Source organism: Homo sapiens, chromosome 12 (assembly GCF_000001405.40).
Source record: "Homo sapiens chromosome 12, GRCh38.p14 Primary Assembly".
Classification (NCBI taxonomy): domain Eukaryota; kingdom Metazoa; phylum Chordata; class Mammalia; order Primates; family Hominidae; genus Homo; species Homo sapiens.
In genome coordinates, this window is record NC_000012.12 from 22,445,345 (window position 1) to 22,468,809 (window position 23,465).

General features: G+C 35.3%; 1 protein-coding gene across 35 annotated transcripts in view; it reads right to left on the bottom strand.

Moving 5' to 3' along the window:
• Positions 1-3,238: 3,238 nt before the first annotated feature.
• C2CD5 (C2 calcium dependent domain containing 5) overlaps positions 3,239-23,465 on the bottom strand; it is a 95,960-nt gene continuing 75,733 nt past the window's right edge. For 12 of the 35 annotated variants that reach the window (NM_001286176.2, XM_017020270.2, NM_001385322.1 and 9 more), the window contains 5 exons: positions 14,148-14,198; positions 13,140-13,241; positions 11,627-11,817; positions 8,552-8,698; positions 3,239-4,547 (listed from right to left, as the gene is read on the bottom strand). In NM_001286176.2, the coding sequence (NP_001273105.1) occupies positions 4,416-4,547; positions 8,552-8,698; positions 11,627-11,817; positions 13,140-13,241; positions 14,148-14,198 (623 nt within the window). In that variant the 3' untranslated portion in view covers positions 3,239-4,415. The remainder of the gene's footprint in view (positions 4,548-8,551; positions 8,699-11,626; positions 11,818-13,139; positions 13,242-14,147; positions 14,199-23,465) is intronic. The other 23 variants (NR_169598.1, NM_001385330.1, NM_014802.3 and 20 more) reach the window with 4 other exon arrangements.

Below are 23,465 nucleotides of genomic sequence, written 5' to 3' on the forward strand. Positions count from 1 at the left end.
AATACCACATGATCTTACATAGTATATGTGAAATCTAAAAAAGTTGAACTCATAGAAGTAGATAGTAAAATGGTGGTTGCCAGAGGTGAGGCCTTAGGAGATGTTGGTCAAAGGATACAAAACTTCAATTAAATAGGAGGAATAAGTTCAAGGAGTCTATTGTACAACATGGTGACTACAGTTAATAATGTATTGTGTTCTTGAAAATTGCTAAGAGAAGTAGATTCTCAGTGGTCCCACCACAAAAGAAAAAAGTGAGGTAATGCATATGCTAATTAGCTCAATCTAGTCATTCCACAATGTATATATAATTTAAAACAACTGTTGTACAAGATTAATATCTGCAATCTTTGGCTATTAAAAAAAGTCAAAAAATTATATATAATTATATATCTACTTTATATAAATTCAGATATCAATATAGGTATATTAATATATAATTTATATATAAATATATCTAATTATATAGAAATATGTTATATATATTAAATGTTATATATATTAAATATATATTATATATTATATATATAATATATATAATATATATTAATAATTAATCTATTAACTATTTATATTATATATAAATAATATATTGATTTATATTATAAATATATTTATATTTAATTATATATATATATGTAGAGAGAGAGAGAGATTGAGAGTCTTTATAGTGCCTTGACTTTTCTATTAGAAAGAAGCCAAGCTTCCTAGGATACTATTTATCCAACCATTCCTAACATTTTCTTCAGCGTGGTTCCTTATTCAGCCTGGGGTCAAATAAGTGGTTTCAATAAACCTCCTGAAGTAGTATGCAAAAGTTCATGTATATGCTTATTTTGGGGGACAAAAAGGTCCAAAGCTTAGATCGGATTACCAAAAGTACTCTGAAAATGACCCTCCTCTGAGGGAAAAAGAAAAAAAAGGTTTGTAAATAAATGTGTTGCTTCCACACAACACACATTTTTATGCTTCCACGTCTTTATGCACTGGTGCCATGAGATTAGGTGGCGTATTGGGAAGAGGATAGGTTTTGATCTCCCAGACTTCCGATTCAAGCTAAACCGGCTAAGTAGTAACAACATTTATGGAAATAAGAAATAGTAAATTTTTACTGATGGAGACATACTAACAAAAGAGCAATTCAAGATGTATGAAAATTGATGAAGCTTAAGGACAGCCCCCCCACACCAAAAAAAAAATCAAAGAGAGAATAGAGGTCAATTTAACTAAGAAGCTAAAAAAAAGGAAAGATGGTCACACTGTCCATAACAAAAAGTATAGATATTGTGAAAAGTTACTGTAAAGATAGACAACAAAATAGGGGGGAAATTGTCACACACAGCAGATTAAATATTAACAAGAAAAAGTCAACCCCATAGGACAGAAATTTTCATTTTCACAAAAAAAGTGCAAACTCAAATGCAAAATAGCTCTATTATTCCTACTGGCCAAAAATGTTGTCCATGCATAGACGCATCTCAAAAAGCATTATGCCAAATGAAAGTTGCTGAGCACAAGATCCCACTGACATGGAAGGGGGAGTAGACTGACTGCAGAGGGACACCAGGGAACTTTATTGGTGATGGAAACGTTCCATATCTTGGCTACATGATGGAATATATTTGCCAACCTCAAACTATACACTTAAAATAGATGAATTTTGTTGAATTTAAATTATATCTAACAGATTTTTCAAAATATGTAAGGACACACACTAGGTTATTAACATGGATTGGAAGGGATGTGATAGGGAAGAAGAGCAAACCAGGCAAAAGGGTAAAAAAGAAAACTACTCTAAACATTGTTTATATAATCCCATTTATGCACTTATGAAAAAGCTGTATGCATTAAAAAAAAACTCACCAAATAATACTGCAAGACTGCAATCCAATACTTATATCTTTGGCATGTTCAAATTCAAGGGCAGAACAGGTGATAAAAGCCAGATGACAATGCATCATGGGAGAGAAGGAGGTGGAGGAAGTGCGACAGTGAGTTCGTTTAAATTGAGTCGTTGCCCCTAGAAGCAGTGATGAAAGATGAAGGGCATGTTAAGCCTGCTGTAAATGCTGTAAACTGGCCTATTTCCAAGAGTAAGTCCCAGCATGTCCATTCCAGATGCTCATGTTTCAGGGGTAATGTACGCATAGTGAAAGAGCAGCAGCTCTTGGGGTGTAGGTTAACATTAGCCTTTCTGGAAGGAACCAATCTTGGTCCAGATGATTGTGCTTCAAAGGTAGCCCACAGGAGCAAACAGTCCCATGTGAGTAAATAGGCAGCAAGTTTGGGTGGTTAAGGAAACTCCAGCTTTGACAGAAATCAGTCTGGGTCTCACCATGAGTATACAATTGTTCATACTAAAATAGAGATAATCCCACCTGGCTTGTTTTATGAATTATTAGCAATATCGTTATGTACACAGGACATGGCACAAAACAGCCAATTAGCAATGGCTGTTATTATTCCTTTGCCTAGAAAGACTCTGGAGCACACTATGCAATCACGTAACAGCTGCTGGATGGACAAACGGCTGGACGAATGGATGCATGGATGAATAAACTGGGAATACCCAATTCCAGTGAACTACTTTTCCTGACTGAGCTAAAACATTGTCTCCTTTGGGAAGTACCTCTATTCCAAGCTACACTCACATTTTCTCACTTACTAGTGTAGGTTTTAGAGCCAAATTGCCTGTGCTTGAATCTTGACTCCACTATTTACTGTGTCTTTGGGGCAAATCACATAAACTCTCAATTCAGCTTCCTCAACTATAAACTGGTGCTTAACAATAAGGTTTCCATAAGGATTAAAAGACTTAATACAAAAACATCTTTATTAGACTGGCTGCCCATAGTAAGCATTCAATAAATATTAGCAATTATTAAAATACTACATTACCACATCTTACAAATTATTTACCTATGCAGACACTGACTGTAAGCTCTATGAGGGAGAACTTTTGTGTGTTTCGTTCACTGCCTAAAACTGTGCCCTGCCATCTAGCAGGCATTCAATAAACAGTTGTTGAATGAATACCTACCTACCCTGAAACAATGAAAGAGCCAAAATTACAAACACACACCCCTTCCAAAATTAAGGCCAAGGCCTTACATTTAATAGGTGCTCAATAGATGTTTGTTGACTGAAGAAATGAATGGAGATGATCAGATAGAAAGTGATTCAGAAAACTGACAGTAGTATATGATGGAGGTAAAAAAGAGATTTAGGAATATTCCAGTTTATTTTTATACACTTTTTATTTAAAAAATAAAATTATAAACAAAATACAGAAAAATATTGACACCTGTGATAACAAGGAAATGACTCTTAAGGGCAGTTTGTTGTCCTGGGGGAAAAAATCATAAGTGTTATAAAGAAATATTATTGTGCAAAGGAGGAATGTAATATTTAAGGTTCATTTACAACGGGCATTTGGCGTCGACAGAAAAAGTCTTTCTATGTATACATTCAACATTTTGCAGCATATTTACATTCAAGTTACATTTCCAAATTCTATGCCAAATACAGTCTAACTCACCATCAACAATCCCTCAGATATTACTAAAATCCTGTTTATTTGGTAGGAGTGCAATATTATCTTATTAGGAAATAATTTTATGTTCCTACTAAGTCAACTGCATTTTTACTACTTTAACAAAATTCACTGACATTTTTATCCCAGTTGAAGTCAAGCCTCTTTTAGACAAAGTCAATACTAACTCAAATGTTGCCAGTTATAAAATTATATAATAATCTTTTCCTCCCTCCTTAGAGACAGTATTACAACTTTCAATGAAAGGACACCAGCTATGATAAATTATTTTCTTTTACAAGAGTTAGGATGTATTACAGATACAAGTTCCAGAATTTTAACTTGTTTTCAAAAGATGGCTGAAGCACTTTTCCCTTTCAGTTGTTACCGAATTCCTCAGCAAAATACAACACATTCAGAAATCTACATAGCAGTTTTCTGAAAACTTTTCTCCATTGTCCCCACACATTTCTCAAATCAGAGTGCTTACTCACTAGCAACTGGAGAATCTCTTGCTTAGTTTTTCTAAATTATACTAGAGTAGCTATCCTAATTTCCTGACAATCTTCCCATTTCATTTTTTAAATTATGATTTTATTAAAATCAACATAAATTACAAAGGTTCCATCTTTGCTACGGTTCTTTTAAAAATTTATCTTAACTTACTGAAGGGTCAAGACCCCACAGGGCCTGTCTAGAACAGGCAAACAAAATGTCAAGATTAGAAAATTCTCATGCCTCCAAAAGACTCCAGGCAAATCAAATCTACTCAATTCTTCCTTATTTATCTCAAGTTCAATTTTAAGTCTAAGAAGATAATTAATGACAAAATAACAGAGATTGATGAATTTCATTTAGTTGAGCTCTTTTTTCCTAATTTTCCTCAGGTTGTAACTTCGCCTTCAGTACATGATGACTGGCAGTTGGTAGTAGGTTGCTGAGATGACACCACTTCTAAGTCAGATTCACGAACAAAAACCACTGCATCACCACTTACATTTATAAGACACTGTGCCTATAAGAACAACAAACAGGACAGGTTCAGTTATACTCAACACATTCATACTCTTCTGTTACATAAGGGGCAGTGCTGTACAGCCAAAAAACACAGGCTTCTAAATCATTAGGATAAAGATAGGCAATCCAACAGAAAAATGAGAAAAGGGTAAGAGGGCAATTCACAGGAAAGAAAACTCAAGGAGCTCCTGTGAACATATGAAAACATATTCAAGCCCGCTATTAGAGATATACAGTTAAAATGACAACGAGACACCACTTCATATATACTGGCAAAAAAATGTAAAAGTTGGATGTTACCAAGTGTTAACAAAGACATGGGACAAGAGCAACACACTTAACACTGCAACAGGAAGTGCAACCATCCTGAAAAGAACCGTCTCCTAAAGCAGAAAAAGAACACACTCCCTGACCCATTAATTCCATGTATATGTGTTCCCTAGAGAAATCTTGGACATGTATGCAACAAAGATTAATAAGTAACTTTTCACTGCATCATGTTTAGCAAAATCCTAGAAACAAACTAAATGCCCATCAAAAGGGAAATGAAAATAAACTGTGGAATATTCATGCCTGAAATACTATATGGAAGTGAAAAATGACCTAAAGCTCAATCAATATGGGTAAATCTTATGATAAATTAAGAACAATTTGCAAAATGATATATACAATATAAAATCATTTACATAATTATATATATCCTTCTATATTTATATAAAGAATATGCAAAATATCTCAATGAAGGGGAACTTTGGAAATCTCTATGAAAATTACAAAGGTACTACTTTGACCTAGCAATTCTGTTTTAAGAAATTTTCCCTACAGAGATGCTCACACTTGTGCTAATCACTTATGCATCACATTGTTTTTGTAGCACTGTATGTATTAGCACAACATTTACTGAAAATAACCTAAATATTTATCAGCAGGGGACTAATTAAAGAAATTCCGATCGACCTATACCATGGAGTGTTATGTGGTTGTAACAAACAATAAAGGTAGTCTTTATGTCCTGAAATGAAAATGTTGCCAAGAAAAAGCAGGTGAAAGAGACAGCTGAGGAGCAATATGTACTGTAAAGCTACCACTTATATTAAACTGGGAGATAAAAGAATATATATTTATATATATTTGCTTGTATGTATAAAATCTCTCTGGTTACACACTCTGGAGTGTTACATCTCTAGAAGTTACCATAAAAAAAAAAATGAAAAATTTGGTTGCATGTGGGGAAGAAAAGTGACTGGCTGGAACAGCAGACAAGGAGAGACTTTTCCATTCATACCTTTTTGAATTTTGAATCATGTACTACCTATTCAAAAATATATTAAAACATTTTAGATACAAAATAAAACTACAATTAATTTTTTTAAGATATAAAGGCATGCATAGGAATGACAACAAAATTAAGATGGTTCATTCATTATAAAGAGAAAACAGGCCCACTGAGGCTTCAACCATATTTTTAATATTTTATTTCTTAAGCTGAGGGTCACGTGTAAGAATGTCTGTGTGCAATTCTCTACACTTTTTGTGTATATGCAAGATCTCACATAAAAGTGGGGGAAAAAGCTAATGACATAAATCATGGCACCTGATATGATGTGTACACATCAGTGGTAATCAGCCATTGACAGTTATTATTTGGGTACAGAGGAAGACGACTGGTGGTGGAAAATCTGGGTATATTCTAGCTTTTCTACTTATAGCCTCATACCAAACTTAAGTTTTTTAGCCCTCAGTTTTTTTCACCTACAAAATGGAGTTAATATCAACACTACAAAGTACTAGAAATGAAAAAAGAAAAAAAAAAAGCACAGTTCATTTGGAAAACCAAACAATGCAATCTACCTCTTGGGCATGTTAGGAGAGGTGAGGGGGGCAACAGATGAGTCTGAAAAGGTAGAAGACTTGAGAATGTGGAAGACCTTGTATGACATATTAAGAAGCATGACTTTGTCTTGTAAGAAATCATTGAAGACAAACATTTAAAAGATAATAGTAACAACTTTTACAGTGCTTACAATCCACCAGCACTAAGCACATTACATATATTAACTCATGATTTCCCCAATTTTTATCCCAATGTTATAGATGAGAAAACTGAGGCATAGAGATAAGTTCTGTTCTGGATAAGCTGATTTTGAGGCACTTGTTAAGGTGCTAGTTAAGTCAGTGAACAAGTTGTATAAATTTAACACTGGGAAAAACCCAAAACTACAAATCTCAATCTCAAATACAAAGTAATTAAGCAAAAAAGGATTCTTAAAGTAGGGAAAATCCTCTTATATCAAATAAATTATTACAAAGAAGTATCCAGTTGAATATAATTTCAAGATCTAATAGATGCGTTCTTTACGACCAGATAATATCAAGTGATATCAAATACTCCTGCTCAGGATGTGCCTGGTTTCCACTCTACTTCTACTTTCAAACGATCCGTGTAGAGGTAGTTCGCAGCCCTCCTGGTTTCCCTCCCGCCTTTCTCACTGTTCCTTTCTCAATCTTTCTTCTCCCCATGTACCCCTTTTGACCACTCCACACAATCTCCTTCACGCCAAATCTTATCAATAAGCTAGCTGCGAATCCAGAACTGCAGTAGCCTCACTGAGCTTTTAGATATGCCCCAATTATCTACCAAAAACCCTCCTAGGATGTTTCATAGCTTCCCTTCCCCCTCTAACGTGCCTTAGCCATTGCCAAAATTTATCAGAAGGTTGTCTCATAGTTTTGTTTATCACTATGTTTCTTCAACATGTTAATGAAGTTTAGTATACCGTGAGTTACAAAAATGTATAAACTATCAAGAAAACCTGAAAAGAACTTAGTAAATGAAGTACCCTTCTGAAGAAACTGATTAAACTTCATGATTTCAAAATAAAACTAAAACCAGTCAGGTGTGGTGGCATGTGCCAGTAGTCCCAGCCACTAGGGAAGCTGAGGTGGGAAGATCGCTTGAGCTCAGGAGTTCAAGTCCAGCCTGGGTAACATGGCAGGACCCTATCTCTTAAATAAAGCTAAAACAATTTTGCATTTCCATAATGTCTTTTCAAACTGCTTATATATTTATGACAGCAACTCACTTTCACTATAAGATAATTTTACTAATGAAAAAATGATACTAAGAATTTAAATGATTTGTCTTTGGTTACAATTATCTAGATGTACAGGTAGGGGCAAAAAATATATATACATATACACATCTATTCATTCTTACTCCTGCTTAAATGATAAGTAATTAGTCTATATTAGAGCTTCTTAAGCTCTGTGTCTGCCAAGATATTGATCCCCTCTGCTCTTAGGGGAGTCACTTGGGTCAGAAACGCAGGGCCAATTACCAGCAGCCACATACAGCTTCATGCATTCATCACAGTGTACCAGTGGACCACAGAAATAGGATTTTTGATGTGTGCCAAGAGAAGCAGGTTGGGAAGAACTGCCTTTATGGCATTTCATACTATTTAGTATAGTTGATTAATTTTTAAAAAATTTTAACAATTTTAAGTGAATTATCTTAACACAAAATTTAGAAATTTATTTTAAGATTTAAACTAACTGCTTTCATCCCCATTAAGAGAATAACACTACTTACTAGAAATAAGCAAGCCTTACTATGGCCTTACTATGATATACTCTTCATTAGTAAGGCAGCTGAAACTGGACAGCATCATAGTCCAAACTAAAGGATATCTTTAGCTCTCCTCAGTTAGCTATCACTGTATTCTAAACACCTACCAACAAGAGGGTGGAAACAGTAACTCAGGAGCACAAATTCCAGATGTGATTAAGAATAATACCCTAGTTACCTGAGATGTCGAAATAGCATGTATTGACTTGTGACTATGTATGACCATGGTTATGAATAAACTCATTAAAATATCTTACGCATCTAGACTCAAAGGGCTCTAAAGAGCAATTCTCTTTTGGAGGGGGTTAGGGGTAGGAAGCCATGGAAGAAATTCTCAGGTTCCCGCCAATCAGGAATTTTTAACTGCATCTTACCTGGTTTTTATTTGGATTCTCCATGAAGACACACTGCTTCATTATGTAGGAGACAACAGCATTCCCTCCTAATGCAGCAACATGAGCTCTCACCATTGCAAACACTTCAGCAATAAAAGCATGGAGAAAACCACTGACTCCTCCTTCCTAAATAATAGTGCACAGGAAAATCATACTATATATACATGTGTATGGATATAGGAATGCACACAAAATGTCAAAGAATATATATTAAAACATCCTAAATTATCTTAATATACCAAATAACTTAAACTTCCCTCACAATGGGGATTTACTGCATGAATGAACAAACATTGACTGAACACATGTCCAGGCAAGGATTTACTACCTTTACTTTACAGATGATAAAACTGAAGCCCGGAGAATTTGTAATTTGCCCATGACTAGCTATGATCAAATTAGCTAGTAAGTAAATGGCAAGGCAAGAATTCAAATTGTGCCTCCACCTTCAACATCTCCATCATATCATGCTCATCATCATTTAAACAAATTGATGATAAGCCTAAACGATAAAACTTACCTGTTATCTATATCTCTCATTCTGAACCTGAACCATGTTCCAATCAAACTTGCCTTTTTTTCAGTTTCTCAAATGCACAAGCACTCTTCCTACCTCAGGCTCACTGGCACATGTTGCTCCTGCAGACTTTTCATTTTTTTTTTTTTTTTCAGAGAACAACTCATTCACTCCTTGGTCCCAACTTACATATAATGTCTTCCGAGATACCTTCTCTGACTGTGAACTCTAAGTTGAAGTCCATTATATACTCTGATAGCCTCTGTTCAATTTCTTTATATTACTTACTCTCCCTAGTAATTAGATACTAATTATATGATTATTTGTTAATGTCCACCGTGCTCCAGTTCTACTAGACTGTAAATTCCATTAGGTCAGGGACTGTATCTGTTTTGCATACAACTATATGCTAACATCTAGTTCAACAGGTGCATATAATAAGAATTCCATATATAATTGTAAGGAAATAAAATCCAGTAGTTCAGGGTACTTTTCCCATATTGAAAAACAAGCAAAACAGAAATCAAAGGCTAGTCAATAGCTTGAAATGCTTTTCAACCTAGGTTTCCACAAATTCTATTGGACTTATTTACAGTCTAGGAGGAAATTTCCAACTTTAAACTGGAAGTGAAGGGGAAAAATGACTGCAGTATTAGAAAACCATTTTATTGGGTCACATCCTTCTGAAAAGCCTGAGGATCCTACATATAGTTGTATAAAGATATCTCTTTTTGTAGTTAGGGAATTAAGGGAGTTGCTTCAGCCTGCCTCCAACTCAATCATAGTTCAGTATATTTTTTGAGTTTTATCAATTTCCTGTTTATTAAATCAAAAAATTCTGATGACACAGTAGCTACAGAGGATTAATTTTAAAAATATTAATTAACTGTAAGAAAACGACTCAGGCAATTAACACATTTGGGATATGGTGCTACACAATTATTATTATAAGTTTCTGTTGAAGGAAAACCTACTAAGAAGCAACATTTTGAGGTATGGGAGCTTAAGTAGTCAAGAAGGCTTAGGAAATACAATTTTATGGATTCAAAATAGTGTAATATCCATGTGCTACCAAGAGCAAGTAGAAAAGGTTAATTCATAATATATGCCAGCTTTTCGCACCAAATCTTTGTCAAATTTAAATGGATGTAGAAGTATCATCTATTTTAATTCTCTATCCAAAGGCTTTTGAGAATATCTTCATAGTTTATTTTTCATCTTAACGTAATTAAGAGTGATATAAAAACTAATTTATCTTTTTTGGGGGGAAGGATAGAGTCTCACTCTGTCACCCAGGCTGGAGTGCAATGGCGCAATCTCGGCTCACTGCAACCTCCACCTCTCAGGTTCAAGCAATTCTCGTGCCTCAGCCTCCTGAGTAGCTAGGATTACAGGCATGTGCCACCATGCCCGGCTAATTTTTGTATTTATAGTAGAGAAGGGGTTTCGTCATGTTGGTCAGGCTGGTCTCAAACTGCTGGCCTCAAGCAATCTACCCGCCTCAGCCTCCCAAAGTGGTGAGAATATAGGCGTGAGCCACTGTGCCTGGCCTAATTTACCTTAAAGAAAACATCCATCTAATTAATTAAATAATCTGTCAGAAGCTATTCATTTATTTGCACAAAAACATATTGTGTTTATTCCATGCCAGCTACTGTGCTAGGCGCAGGATGGTGAGTATGATATTAAAGACAGTGTGCAGGCTGTTATTCCTAAGAAAGTATAGAAATACTGCTGGTGAAGAAGGGCACAGCTAAGTCATCTTTATAATGAATATACTTTTTAAAAATACAAACTGCAGCTGAAGTAAAATTTGAAAAGGTTATTGGATGTCACACCTCAGTAACTAAAAAATTTCCCTATTCACCATATTAATTTGCTTGGTAGCCCCTGTTCCTTAACATATGACACAACGTAATTTTTTTAAGTTTAAATTCCTGTGTTATAAAAGATATAACAGGCTGACTCTGATTCTGAACTTTTCCCACATCAAGTAAAATATTACAACTTGTTATTTAAAAACCAAATTAAAGTTTAATGATACTCAGTGTGAGGTAAGACTGAAGAAATGTCATCCTCATACACTAACTGAGAGAGTAAAAAATGAGCAGCTTCATTCCTTTCTCAGGAGGAAGAAACAGCAGAGCTAAATTACATAAAGTATCTCCTTAGACATGTATCTGTAATACAGTCCTCTACTATTTCTAAATGTGATCTGTCAAAAATTGCTAAATTACTGAGGAAACGAAGCTGTTCTTTCAGGGCTATTTTAAACTTCTATTTGAACACAGATATTTGTTTTATTTACTATATGATAAGGTTCTAAGATTTCTAACAATAAATAGGTTTAAAACTAACACAATTCTTGTGATAATCCTCGCTGCTAAATGAAATAAACTCTAGACTCAATCCAGATAATTAAAATATAAATAAATATTTGTAAGTTTTTGGCAAAAAATAACAATTTGAAACTTAGTTTTGTTACTAAATCTTCAGAGAAAATTTTTTAAAAAATGAAATAACTTCTATAAAATTACCTCCCGAAGAGAAGTAGTCTCTCGAATAAAAAACATGTTAATTATCCCAAGATACTTAGTTATTTTTGCTCCAGGAATAAAAGAAAGAGGTGTCATCTTAACAACCCCAACTGTGGAATTTGCACAAGGTGGAGCAGAACGATTCCGGAAATTTCCATCACCCACTGGACTTGCTTTTTCAACTGTCATGGCTAAAATTGGAGAAAAATGAGAAAACATTCAGAACAGACGCTGGTAACACAATTATTCCCTGAGGTTTCCAAATAAGTGGTGACAACATTCAGCTGTCTGTGAGGCTAAGCCATGTCATGAAAGAAAAGAAATTATCATGCACTGCATGCAATTAAAAAAGAGAGACAGAAAAACATGAGAGGAAATGCTGGAATGGAATTCTTTTGGAAGAAAAATGGCATTCCTGCAAAAGAAAATGTTGATGCAGTATAGCTACACACACAATGATTGGTTATAAAGTGAAGAAAAAGAAAAAGCGGCTGAGCATTAAAATTATCTGCTGTAGGAACAAATTATTACAAGGAGAGTGTGAAAGTTGTTCTATTTCCCAGTGCAATTTTTCCATCTTTTTCAGACGACTTCATCATTGTCAACTTGTAGATAAACCTTATGTTATCTAGTTGTAAGATACTGGTTTTTTCCAAACCTTTTTGAAAACCAACTCATAATTTTAAAAGCTTAACGACCTCTGCTAGCTAAAAGTTGGTTGTTTATAAAGTAAAAAAATAATAGCTACCACTTATTAAATAACTGCCATAAGCCAGACATATATATATATATCTAATCCTTACAACCACCCAAAAACACAGGTTATCATCATCATCCCCATTTCATGCATGAGGAAATGGAAGGTTAGAGAAGTTAAGTAACTTGCCCAAGGTCTCATAGCTATTAAAATGGCACTTCTAGGATTCAGAACCAGATCTGGCTGGTTTCACATCCTATATTATTTCCTGTGAAATGTAGTTTTTTCCCCCTTTTAATGTACGGTAAGCTCTTTCACTCAAATATATTTACCTCAAAATTTACCAAAACACATGGCATAAGATAACATATAAGTAATGATTCTGATTCTAGCAGTAAGGTAATAACTACTTTCTCACCATAAATTCTTTATTAGTTTAGCCCTCTGCATATCACACTTAATAAACCGACAGATGCCACATACTAAATAGTACCTTGGGTCCTGGAAGAATGTCTTTTCAATAAGAGAGTTGGCAATTTACTTCCAATTAGAATGATATAATATCTATTTATATACTTTTAAGAATACCTGCACAAAAAGGAAAATTTTAAAAACACAATTCTATAGGTAAAACTAATAAATCTAAAGGCCTTTCAAAAGCTTTTCCTAAATGACCGTTACAGTCTGCAGCTTTCACACTCTAATACATGATGGATTGGCAATGTTATTACTGGGTAGTAAGGTCTAGCTTTCACCACTGGGAAATCAGGGATATGTTTCTCAGATTATCATAATGTGGTAGAAACATCCGCCTACTTGTCTTAATTGATCCACGCCTTATGGTCTGAGCTTTCAGTTTAATGAGCTCTATCCAGCTGCTGCATCTGTCTGCAAAGGAACTGTAATCAACTGACGTTGCTGAAAACACAGACAGAAAACAAAAGAAAAAAACAAAGAAAAAAATATGGATGATGTCTCTTACTCGTCTTAACACTCCTTTCGATGATGTAATTTAACTGTAACTCAGAAAAAGAATGGTCCTTTTCAAGTCAGATAAGAGAGATAGTAAAGAGTCAAGCTTTAGACACTGATTTGTCCAAAACCAAGTTCTCAGTTAGCAGGCTGAGCATTTCTGGTGATGTCATAGTTGTGTGGTCTCCTAGGGAGAGCCTGAGTGGGGTCTAACATAAATATCAATGAAAGGACCACATACTGTGCTTTAACTAACTTTATTTCCTATTCTTCTTAATTTACAATATTTCAGTTGTTTCTATTTTATTTTATAATCAAAGCTTTGTGAATAATTCATTTCCCTAGTTTTACCCTAAAATTTTAAAAAAAGAGAATCAAATGTTGAAGAATATATTTTTAAAAGTTAGTAGTTGACTTATCTGTTATTAAAGTATCTTCTTTCTACAATCAGTAAGAGGAAAACCAAAGGGCCATTTTTGTTAATGTTTTGTTTCCATGTCTGATTTTGGGCAACAAAGCCTCTGATAATATGGGGTCAGGGCAGGTGTGAGCCTCACAAGTTCCCCCTTTTAAAAACAATAACTTTTACTACTGCTAAGCTGGAAAAAAAATTTTAAGGAGCTAAAATTTTATGCTTAGAAACTGGGAAACCATTAACATACTAAAAAATTTAAATATTAGTTTAATTGATGCTTTTAAAAGAACATATTCTACCTACAAAAAAAAAAAAGCCAGATTTTGGTGTCTATTCCATATTGTCCAGTGCATTTTCTTCAATGTCTATAATTTTATGCACCACCAAACTAGAATTTTACACCTTTGGTGACTATTTGCTTAATTAGACAAACTCACCTCTCTGTGCAGCTGGTATACCTGAGTTAGAACTTGCACTCTCCAGGTGTTCTAATAAGACAATATGAACAACATTAGCTCAGATGCTAAGTACAAGCCAGTACCTCTTCTTTGTTATTTGTTAATACCTCTATAAGCCAGAAGAATAGGAGGAAATCTTTATGGCTTCATTGCAAAAGCAAACCAAATAAAAGCATCTAGGTTTAAAATGCAGTTTCTATTGATAAATGAAAACTAGCTCAGTTCATAAATACCATGCCAAAGGAGACTACTTGCTTACTGTAACACAAAAAGAGTTTCAGAAACTTTATAGTCACAAGAAAATATAAACATAGTAACGAATGTGAGTATGATGAAAGCAGGATGTGAGACTAGGCAGAGAAAAGGGTCAATGTGTTGGGAAGAATATCTGAAATGAAACATGGAAGGAAAATGTTTGCTGTGGGGAAGAGTCTATAAGATTACAAATTACAGACAAGATAATGATTATGCTTCACAGATCAGCATAAGCTGCTCCCTAGTCTTAACTCTCACCACCAACTTCTTCATTCGAAGACTTCGATATCAACAGCTCCCTCTGGTGGTATCAAGACTTTGTGAAACTAAAAAATGAGTGATCACAGAGGTAACCAGGAATCCCAAGCCAGTATCACTCCCTTTCCAGTAACCTGACAGTAGCATCCAGAATTTTCCCTGATATTTTTTATTACAGGTATTTAAGGTATTGTACAAATTTAAATAGCACTATAAAAAAACTTCATAACCTATTTTTAATGCTCATGTTCTACCCACATTAGAATATTTAAATTTTTGTTTGAAAGAATTTTACAACTAAAAGAATAGTCCTGCCAATTTAGAAATAACTCATGAAAAGCACTGAGAATAATTCGGTTGGCTTAGTATAGTATAGTTTAAGTATAGATAGATAAATATGTTTTTTCATTTCTACTTAGTGTGTTGATTTTTTGGTAACATTCTTAAATTAATAAAAAAACTTTTCAAAACATTATTTGTACAGAATGTTTCTACCATAGAATGTTGCTGCTAATTGAAAATACAATGCAAGTATCTCACCACACCCCACCAACACAATTTTTTTTTTTGAGACGGAGTTTTCGTCTTGTTGCCCAGGCTGGAGTGTAGTGGCACGGTATCAGCTCACTGCAACCTCCACCTGCCAGCTTCAAGTGATTCTCCTGCCTCAGCCTCCCAAGTAGCTGGGATTACAGGCACCCACCACCACGCCCGACTAATTTTTTTGTATTTTTTGTAGAGATGGGTTTCACCATATTGGCCAGGCTGGTCTTGAACTCCTGACCTCAGGTAATCCGCCTGCCTTGGTCTCCCAAAGTGGTGGGATTGCAGGTATGAGCCACCAAACCTGGCCCACAGTTTTCATAAAGCAACTGACCACTAGCTAATCCTGTAACATATACAGAGCTGATGAATAAAAGGGATCACCAGGTGGGGTCCACGAATGGCCTATGAGGATACCACACTGTGGACATGCCCTGACCATCATGCTCACTGACTGGAGATCTAGATAGGAAAAGTCCTCCTGATTCAGGATCTTGAGAGACTTTGGAAGTCTAGGAGGAGATGGGACCTAAAGAAAGACCAGCACAGACCTGACATTCAGAGGCTTACCACATCTGTAGGGACACTCAGCACAGAAACAGACTCAATGGAGAGACTGGGACACCAACTGTCCTACCCCTAACTTACATATCCCAAGAGAGTCCTGAGGCTCTCATATGTCTTGTGCAGTATAGATTTGGTTGGTGTAGAATTACAGAACATATAGCTGGCATTAGGAATTCTGTGCATTTTTTTAAACTGCAGGGGAAAGAGGAACGGCTTAAAAATTTCTGAAAAATCACTAAAACGAAAATCTTTTCTATACCTTGATATTATCTGAGTAATATGGAATTCCCTAGTAGGAACTGCATATATTTTAATGGCAAATGTACACAGAAAGAGCTTACCTGAGTATGTATTAAATATCTGTTCCCATCTCTAACATCAAGTGGAAAAAACAAGGTACACAATGATATGTAAAATACTTGTGTTTTTTAAAAAGGATGAATAGAGTATCTTTGAAAGACAGACAGTAAACTGCTAAAAGTAGTTGCCTCTTGGGGAAGGAAATGGAGAAGAGAGCTTTATTCTGGACTACATGATTTTTGTAATATTCAAATTTTTCACGATATACATGTATTACTTTTACCCAGTAAAATTTATATAAAGGATGAAGAGGGAAAAAAGGGAGGGAAAATGTTTATTCCCTGCCCTCAAATACGAATGCATCTGAAAAAAATCTGAAAAACCCAAGTTTTTAAGGGAGATTTTTGATTTCACTTAGGGAGAGCAGGTTCATCTTTTAACATGCTTGCTATCTTAATTTTTCTCCTAGAAAAAAAAGGCCCAAGAGGCCCAAGGCCAGCTGGTCCCAGCAGCAGATAGACATCAGCACCTGGACTGGTTTGAATACCTCAAATGTCTGATGACCTCAGACTCCCAGGCCCTCTGCTCCTCCTGATCAGAGTTTGGCTTCCCAGGTGATAAGCTTTTCAAAAGAGAAGGTACTGCAGATACATGCAGTCTGGCTCACTGACCAACTGGGAGTTCCAGTTTAAAAGAAATAAAACAACATGCAGTCTCTAGACTAATACTAAATTAAAAACAACATAGTTCATTATTCAAGGGTAGAAATCTCCTTAAAAGTCTTTCAGGCTTTGCTGAGTTGTGCTCACTTGTGTGCCATTTGTAGATCTATATGGAAGAGTCTGAAACAAATGCTTTTCATGTCAAGATCCCCCTTCTAGCTGCAAACAGTCTCAATTAAGCCACACAACAGTCTGCTTCTATTATAATTTGGTTTCCCACTTAATGCAAGAAGAAGATTATTTTGCATTTTTTTAAAAGTCACCATTAAGTGATAACCCTGCAAGCCCCAAATAAATGACCCTAGAAACTTAGCAAAGCAATACAGGGCTATGGTTTTATAATTCCCCTAGTGCACTCTAGCAATATTTAACAAGCCCTGTGTGTAGTGGTGTGGGAGGGAAACTAACCCAGGTTAAAATCAGCTCAGTGGAAATGAGCATATTAACGACAAAAAGGATTCTTCCTCCCTCAAACAGACATTCTCCAGTACGTCTAAAGTCTGAGACTTTTCCATTCTTCTAAATAACTTGTCGTAACCAATGGCAAAGGTATTCGTTAGCTGCAGCGATTATTTGAATGTAGGTCCCCTCCAAAACTCACTGAAATTTAACTGCCATTGTAACAGTACTAAGAAGTAGGACATTCTGGCCAGGGGCAGTGGTTCACACCTGTAATCTCAGCACTTTGGGAAACCTAAGTGGGCGGGTCAGTTGAGCTCAGGAGCTCGAGACCAGCCTGGGCAACATGTTGAAACCCCATCACTACAAAAAAAGATAAACATTAACCAGGCAAGGGGGTGTTAGTGGTCCCAGCTACTCAGGAGGCTGAGGCGGGAGGATCGCTTGAACCCAGGAGCTAAAGGCTGCAGTGAGCCAAGATCGCAGCACTGCACTCCAGCCTGGGGGACAGAGTAAGACCCTGTCTCAAAGAGAGAGAGAAAAAAAAAGGCCAGGTGCGGTGGCTCACACCTGTAATCTCAGCACTTTGGGAGGCCAAGGCAGGCGGATCACTTGAGGTCAGGAGTTCGAGACCAGCCTGACCAATATGGTGAAACCCCGTCTCTACTAAAAATACAAAAAAAAATTAGCCAGGCATGGTGGCAGGCGCCTGCAACCCCAGCTACTTGGGAGGCTGAGGCTGGAGAATCACTTGAACCTGGGAGGCAAAGGTTGCAGTGACCCAAGATCGTGCCTCTGCATTCCAGCCTTGGCAACAGAGGGAGACTCTTGTCTCAAAAAAAAAAAAAAGTAGGACATTTAAGGCCTGATTAGGCCAGGTCTCCACCCTTATGGGTGGGATTGGTGCCATTATAAAAAGGGAGATTTGATCTCCTCTTGCTCTCTTTTTGCCCTTCTGCCCTGTGATAACACAGCAAGAAGGCCCCTGCCAGATGCTGGTTCCTTGATATGGGACTTCCAACCTCCAGAACTGAGTCAATAAATGCCTGTTCTTTATAAATTACACGGTCTCAAGTGTTTTGTCACAGTAGTACCAAACAAACTAAGATAAATACAGGAATAAATTTCTACACTGATCAGTACCTCTTTTGACTATCTATTCACTTTATATCATTAGAATTTGCAGATCATCTTTGCTCTAAATAATTAAAAAATATTTGAGAAAATCTTATCTGAATGTCTTTTAAGAATTACTAAAACTAAAAAACTTCCTACAAATTTGGAAATGATTCTCTGGCAGATTAAAATATATGCAGTTGGGAGTCATTATAATTTATGTTTTATTTTCCTATTTAAACATTCTCAGTTTTATTATGATCAAAACTGGGTTTTATGTTTCTTTAGGAATTTCCATCAATTGATAATGCATTGATTAGTTATGCTTTATAAGTATAAAATCTAACTTCATGACTGGGGTAGACAAATGATATATCTAAACATTCAGTATAAACCTGATCTATAACGATACTCAAATATTGATGAATTGATAAGGAAACTGCCATATTACAGTTGTAAATTACTAAGGCACACAGAAAGACAGAACTAGCTTCAATTTGGACAGTTTATAAGGGAAAAATTCAACTGTGATACCTAGGTAGTACATATATTAGATAACAAAGACAATTAACTTCCCTATTTGGGTCATTTAAGTTTCTAATTAAAGGTGTACGACATTCTAAACCACTTGTCTTTCTTCTTCAATCCCCTTCTTACATTTTCCTGCTTCCATTTCCAAGCATGCAATCTCCCTCTCACTCCTATCTTTTATAGCTTCTCTTCCAAATAATCCGTTTTCTGTCAGTAACTCAATGCAATTTTCCTTTGCTTTTTACTCCCTCTTCCTCTAACTGTGGATTTCACTGTCCTCAAGCTGCCTTGAAGAAGCCACAGAGATAAAGATTCTTTATTCCTACTTCTCCATCAATTCTCTTGCCTTCCGTCCTTCCTTCCTTCCCATTTCTGGGATGAGTTTTTCACACATTTTCCTCTAGTTAGTTTCTGTTTTTTGCATTCTCTTCCCCTGAGCGTCTCTTTCCTTTTAAAACTTGCCATTGATTATTTGGCCTCCAATAACATCAAGAATTTTAACTGTTTTTTATTGTTGCTGCCACTTGGTCATAGTGACAAAATATATTTTTTAAAAAATAGTAATAACAGACATGCAATGGACTATTAATATATAAAATGCTTTTAATTAGTATAAGGAATTATATATAGTCATAAGAATTCAAACCGTTAGTTGGCAGGAAAAGTAAAAGATAACTTCTGTATTTTTTACAAATGTACACTTCTAATTGCTATTTTAAAATAATGTTAGCAAGACATTAAATTCAAACAGTTAAACTATTTTAAAATCAAATCTGTGAATGAGACTGTCTCTAAAAAGAAAAAAAATCTAATTTGGTTTAACAAAGAAAAAGTAACTCTTCTAGCCTACAATAAAAAACTTCTGACGTAGACACCTAATTTTGAAGTACAATGTATTGTGGGTATAAGCCAACTTGTTTTTATATTTAACCTATGCTTGCCACAGCAGTCAGCAGCTAATGTAATGAATAGAGTATTCCTGCCAGCCTATAGCGTATGCCACTGAACACGAGGAAATACTCTAGTAAAAGCAAAAGGAAAGCAGGAAACAAGGTGGGTATTAAAAAAAAAGAGTCTTCTATACAGTTTCACTCAACGGTATTTAAAACTAAAATTGACTTAATTAAACCTTTTTAATTTTTAAATGATCAGTGTTTTAATGAAAACTATTATCCTACCTTAGGTAATATTTTTTAAGAACTTGAAATATATTTAAAGTAGTATATGATTTATACACACTTGTCTAATATAAGTTCTTAAGCCCTACAATACAGCAACTAATAGCTCAAGATGTAAGCCTTTAGATATTTCTCTGAAGTAATATGCTAACCTTTTATAAAAATTACATGTATAAAATTCTTGAGATAAACTGAAATCTATGAGAAGAATCTCGCTGATTTTTTTTACTCTTCTCCCAGACCTCAACCCAGATTCCCCCCCATTTTGCTCATTCTTTTTTTCTATATAGATACACACATTATTTTTAAAGTCTCTTGAAAATCATTTCAGAGAAAAACTCAGGTTTGGATATCAATGATGAGAAAAACACATGAAAATTGTATTAAAAATTTGCTATAGCTATCATTTTTCTCATAACACACTCTTGAATAAACATAAATAATTTATGTTGATACCATATCATCTATCCTTAAATAAATTATTTAGGCTCAGCACCAGTTAATATATCAAATCAGAAAAATCAAGACAACCAGCAAGGTAACACCAAATCAACCATAAATTTGAGACATACATCAAACTACTCTGCTACCTTTAAAAACAAAACCAAATATAATAAACGATGGAAAGAAAAAATTGAACATGGATGGACAATTCAGGCCCAGGCTTACTCTACACTGTGAATTAAGATACATGTTATTGAAGCAACATTTCTTTACATGACATTCACCCATTTTCAATAACACAAAAAGACAATGAAAGGTTTATCTACAAGTAAAAAGATGGAAATATTAATAAACATACTATGCTTAGCTCTTGAAACTAATCCCCTAGTCAATATAAAAGGAAATAAAAAATTTTAACAATCATCCTATTTGTGATTAAAAACATGAAATATACACTGGAATTCAAAGTTACTGAAAGTAAAAAAAAAAAAGCTATCACCTTATTTAACTTAACAAAATGATTAAAAAACTATACTTTTATTTATCAGTATTAGTAACTGACTTTTAAGCCTCTTATGGTTGCATATTTTAAAAAAACAGAGAAATCTTTTGAGCATTTATCCCTAACACTCTTACCTTCCTCTCTTCCTATTTCCGCTAAATTGCTATTTTTGAATTTTTCCAGACATTGCCTTCTTTCATGTTACAACACGCAATTACTCCATTTTTAAGACTCTATTATATTTTTCAGACCTTTTCAAAACCTATCTTACCCTCAAATTTTCCAAAACATTTTGAGATAGCTTTAAAAATTGTATTTAGCCCATGTCCTCCTGAAAAGACTTGAAGCACAAGACAATAAATAAGCACGCAACACAAACCACAATTTACAAAACTACAGAAATATTGGCAGAAAGGTACAGATACACTTTTAAGTGTTTACTGATTATTTTAAATGCAGTATTCAAGGAAAAGCACATAGGTTTCACAGTTAAGCACTTAGTATAGAAAGTTTTACATATATTCGTATTAGATGTGATGGTCTGATGATGATGATGACAATAAAGGGTGGCATAATCAATCAATGGTTTTCAAACTCTTTGAGACCCTTTCTTCAAGTGAAATCACATACAGAAGATGGATATATAAAAACATGGAATCAAAGCTGCTGTTTCAGAAAAGTAGGGGATCCAGAGACCTACCCTCAATCCCATCCTTCTCTGCTCCCTTTCACTTTGCCTCCTGGCAGGCCAAGAGGTACCTCTGACAAACCTCTATGGTTCAGAGGAGCAGAATTTAAAATTAAAATTATTGGTTTAATTGATTAAAAGTTATTTGAAATCATTTTTTATTCTGTTTTTTTTGAGACAGCGTCACTCTGTCGCCCAGGCTGGAGTGCAGTGGCATGATCACAGCTTACTGTAGCCTCAACCTCCCTGGGCTCAGGTGATTCTACCACCCGGCTTCCTGAGTAGCTGGGACCACAGGCACACCACCATGCATGACTAATTTTTTGTATTTTTTGTAGAGAAGAGACTCCTAGGCTCAAGCAATCCGCCTGCTTCGGCCTCCCAAAGTGCTACGATTACAGATATGAGTCACCGCGCCCAGCTGAACACACTTAAATTAAATACAGACGCTCAGTGTGACCTTGGGGTCTAATTTAGCTTTTGATTTACTTTTCAAAATGGGAATATGTTAATAATTGAAGAACCATAAACTATAGAAACCCAACGAATTTTAAAGGTTAGAGAGAATCTTTTCACATTTTACAAAGGACGAACTGAGGCTCAAAGAGGTTAAGCAATTGGTCCAAGTTCTCATGCCTAATCCATAGCAGAACTGAGAAAACAGGTCAGTTGCTTTTCCAACCTACCTCACGGTCCCTCTCAATTCTCCCTAAAATGAGCTGCAAATATTTTAGGTACTGTTCAAATAGGACTTACTCTACTCAAATTCTTATTTTCTTGTTTTTTAGTCCACAAAATATCATTTGGATACCGTATAGTAACGATCACATAAGCACCAGTTATAATTCCTTTGAAAACATTTTGAAAGCTATTGCAGAAGTGGAAAGTTGTCCTTATAGACAAGGCAAACTTAGAGAGCTGAAATCTAATCTTCTGCAGAATTCAGTAGGTATTAACAACATAGTAAAACAGAGCTAACAGGGACCCCAAGTCCACAAATACCTTTTCCTACAGAATAACAATCAATCAAACCTTTGTCGATTAGGTTTTAGGGCTTTTTTTTTTTTTTTTGGCCCCTATTGCAGGATAAGGATAAATGAAATTATACCTAGAAGTGATTTGGAACTAACCCTGAATAAATACAAATTTCTGTATAAAGTAGATGTTAAAGAAAAAAAAACTTGCTGTATAGTGAATTCAAGAAAGACTTTTCTTCTTTTTGAGAGAGGGTCTCCCCCTATCGCCTGGGCTGGAGTGCAGTGGCACAATCACAGCTCACTGTAGCCTTAACCTCCTGGGATCAAGCAATCCTCCCACCTCAGCCTCCCACGGAGCTAGGATCACAGGTGCACACCACCACATGCAGCTCATTATTTATTTTTTGTAGAGCTGGGGTCTCACTGTGTTGCCCAGGCTGGTCTTAAGCTCCTGGATTCAAGCGATCTTCTCGCCTCAGCCTCTCAAAGTGCTGGGATTACAGGTATGAGCCAACAGGCCCGGCCCAAAGAAGACTCTTGACAGTTCTGCTTTCTGCCTGGAAGCTGTATTTAATTCATAAATCTGAACTCACATTACCTTTGAATTTGATTTTTCCTCTCTATTCTTTCAAGGACATTGAGATATGCTACAATTCTCTATGGAGTTCTAAATCAGAATTTTGGGTGATCACAAAAAGGAAAAAGGACCACAGTTACTACGTTACAAAGTTCAGAATCTGGAAGCAGCTTATTTTTCGTCTTTGAAATATGAGACAAGATCTATTTATCTATATAAACAGACTTTGTACTGATTTAA